The 1,979-nt window shown below is 38.8% G+C and overlaps 1 annotated feature.

The window, feature by feature from the left end:
• Positions 311–1,510: an enhancer, noted in NCBI's record as "CDK7 strongly-dependent group 2 enhancer chr9:85478762-85479961 (GRCh37/hg19 assembly coordinates)". NCBI's record gives its function as "activates an origin of replication core promoter dependent on BRD2, BRD4, P300/CBP, MED14 and CDK7 cofactors, with strong dependence on CDK7, by STARR-seq in HCT116 cells {active_cell/tissue: HCT116}" and the evidence as "EXISTENCE:reporter gene assay evidence [ECO:0000049][PMID:35650434]".

Consider the following 1,979-nt stretch of genomic DNA (forward strand, 5'->3'; position numbering starts at 1 on the left):
GATGCTTGAAAGAGATTAAGGAAAGAAATAGATATGAGCAAGAAAAAATAAATTCCCATTTTCTGGCAATAGGTCTGAGTTTGTGGGGGATCAAGTCAGCCAGGGGCTTCATGTTATAGCAAAACAGGGTTTACTACAGTGGGGGAAGAAACAAACAATAGAACACCTATAGTCAACACATTCACCATTGTGGAAGAAGGCAGCTACAGATAGAAAATGTGTTAAAATAAAGCAAGAAGGGAGGGATGACAGTCTTAAGGGGATTCAGAAGCATGGTAGCCAGAAGCTGCAGACCAAATGAAGGCGCCACACTGAACTCACCCCAAACAAAGCAAAGGTGTCTTGACTAAGCCCATTGCTCCTTCTCAAATCCTGCGGGCTTCCTTTTCTCTGTGCACATTGGAATGTCCTGGAAAGTCTGTATTTCCTTAGTGTGCCTGCAGATTTCTTTTTACTCATAAATTGGAGCAAAAAGAGCACACACAAAATAGTTAAAGTAACCATAATACAACCATATTAAAGGTGTTTAGGGGTTATGGGATGTGTGCAAGACACATAAACACACACAATGTCCACACACCTTGACTAAAATCGAGCACTGTATGAATCACACCAAGCATGTTAAGCACAGGTAAGGTATATTGCCTTCATTTGTTCACTTTAAATGACTAGAGTATAATTCACTCCGAAGTTGCTATGAAGAAGAAATGAGGATAGATTAACCTTTCAGTGCCACACCTGGTCTCCGGATTTCCCAACGTGTTAATGAATTTCCTGAGATGGGAGTGTCAGAGCTGCTGGCAGTACGTTAATCTGGGGAAGCACGAAGCAATACATCCTCCAAACTCAAAGGTGGGTGAACCAATTTAGAAAATGTTAAATCAAATCCAAGCCATTCCCTAAAGACAGTTCCAACCTGTAAAGCCCAAAGACATCTGGAAAAGTCACTCTGGCACAGCTCACTCGAAGTCACTGCCGAGTTTCTAACTTCATGTCTTTATCTGTGTCCAGGAAATAAGGTCGATGCCCCTGTACCTCCTGAAATATCTTCTGGAGTAAAGACACTTGTCAGTAGACCTATAAAAATAACAACAAGCCATCTCTCAAATGCACCCACCCATAGCTCAACACCACCTATTCTCTTCCGTGTTTCTGCCCAGATACATATGTTTGAAATGAAAGGACTGACAATAGAGAAGAATCTTTTTTTGAGAGGAATATTTTTAAAGGAGATATTTTGTCGTTAGAAGTAACATACTGAGGGTGAAAATCCACTGGGAAGTAAGCATATAAAATAATTTTAAGAGATCATTTTAGTGGTGGAGTTAACAAAATGTTTTAAAACCAGGTTGGTAAAAATGATGAGTAGATGAGAAGAACAGTAGGGATATACAGAGGACTTTCATTCTAAAAATGTTTCCTGGATTCTTAGGAGTGACATTGGCAAGACAGCCAACTAGAGTTGAATGACACTTGTCCCCCAAACAAAAGGAATCAGAACAAAAACTAAACAACTATAATTTGACTGCAGTAACTGAGGAAGTATGCTGAAGAGCACTGGGGAGTGGTGAAGTTCCCGTAGAGCACGAAAACATAATAAAATGAGGAATATCCAGTGCCGTAACAGTGCTACTATGTAAATCTCTCAGTCCTCTAGTATGAAGGTTAAATGTTTCAAAAATAGTCAAAACAACAACAGCTACAGTTAGTGGCTAAGGAACAGATAATTGATAAAGATGTAAATTAAGTAATAAAAATATAAATTGTGGGCTATAGGGGAAAAGTCTAGGGTAGTATTTTTATGTAACCAAAGTTAAGTTGTAATCAGCTTAAAATAGTCTATAGTACTACAAAACTCTTTTTGCTAGCTCCTGGTAACCACAAAGCAAGAAATTACAACACATACACAACCAAGAAAGAGAAAGGAAACAAAGCTTAGAACCACAGAAAATCACCAAACCCAACAGTAAACAACAAGA

The sequence above is a fragment of the Homo sapiens genome, chromosome 9 (assembly GCF_000001405.40).
Source record: "Homo sapiens chromosome 9, GRCh38.p14 Primary Assembly".
Lineage (NCBI taxonomy): Eukaryota > Metazoa > Chordata > Mammalia > Primates > Hominidae > Homo > Homo sapiens.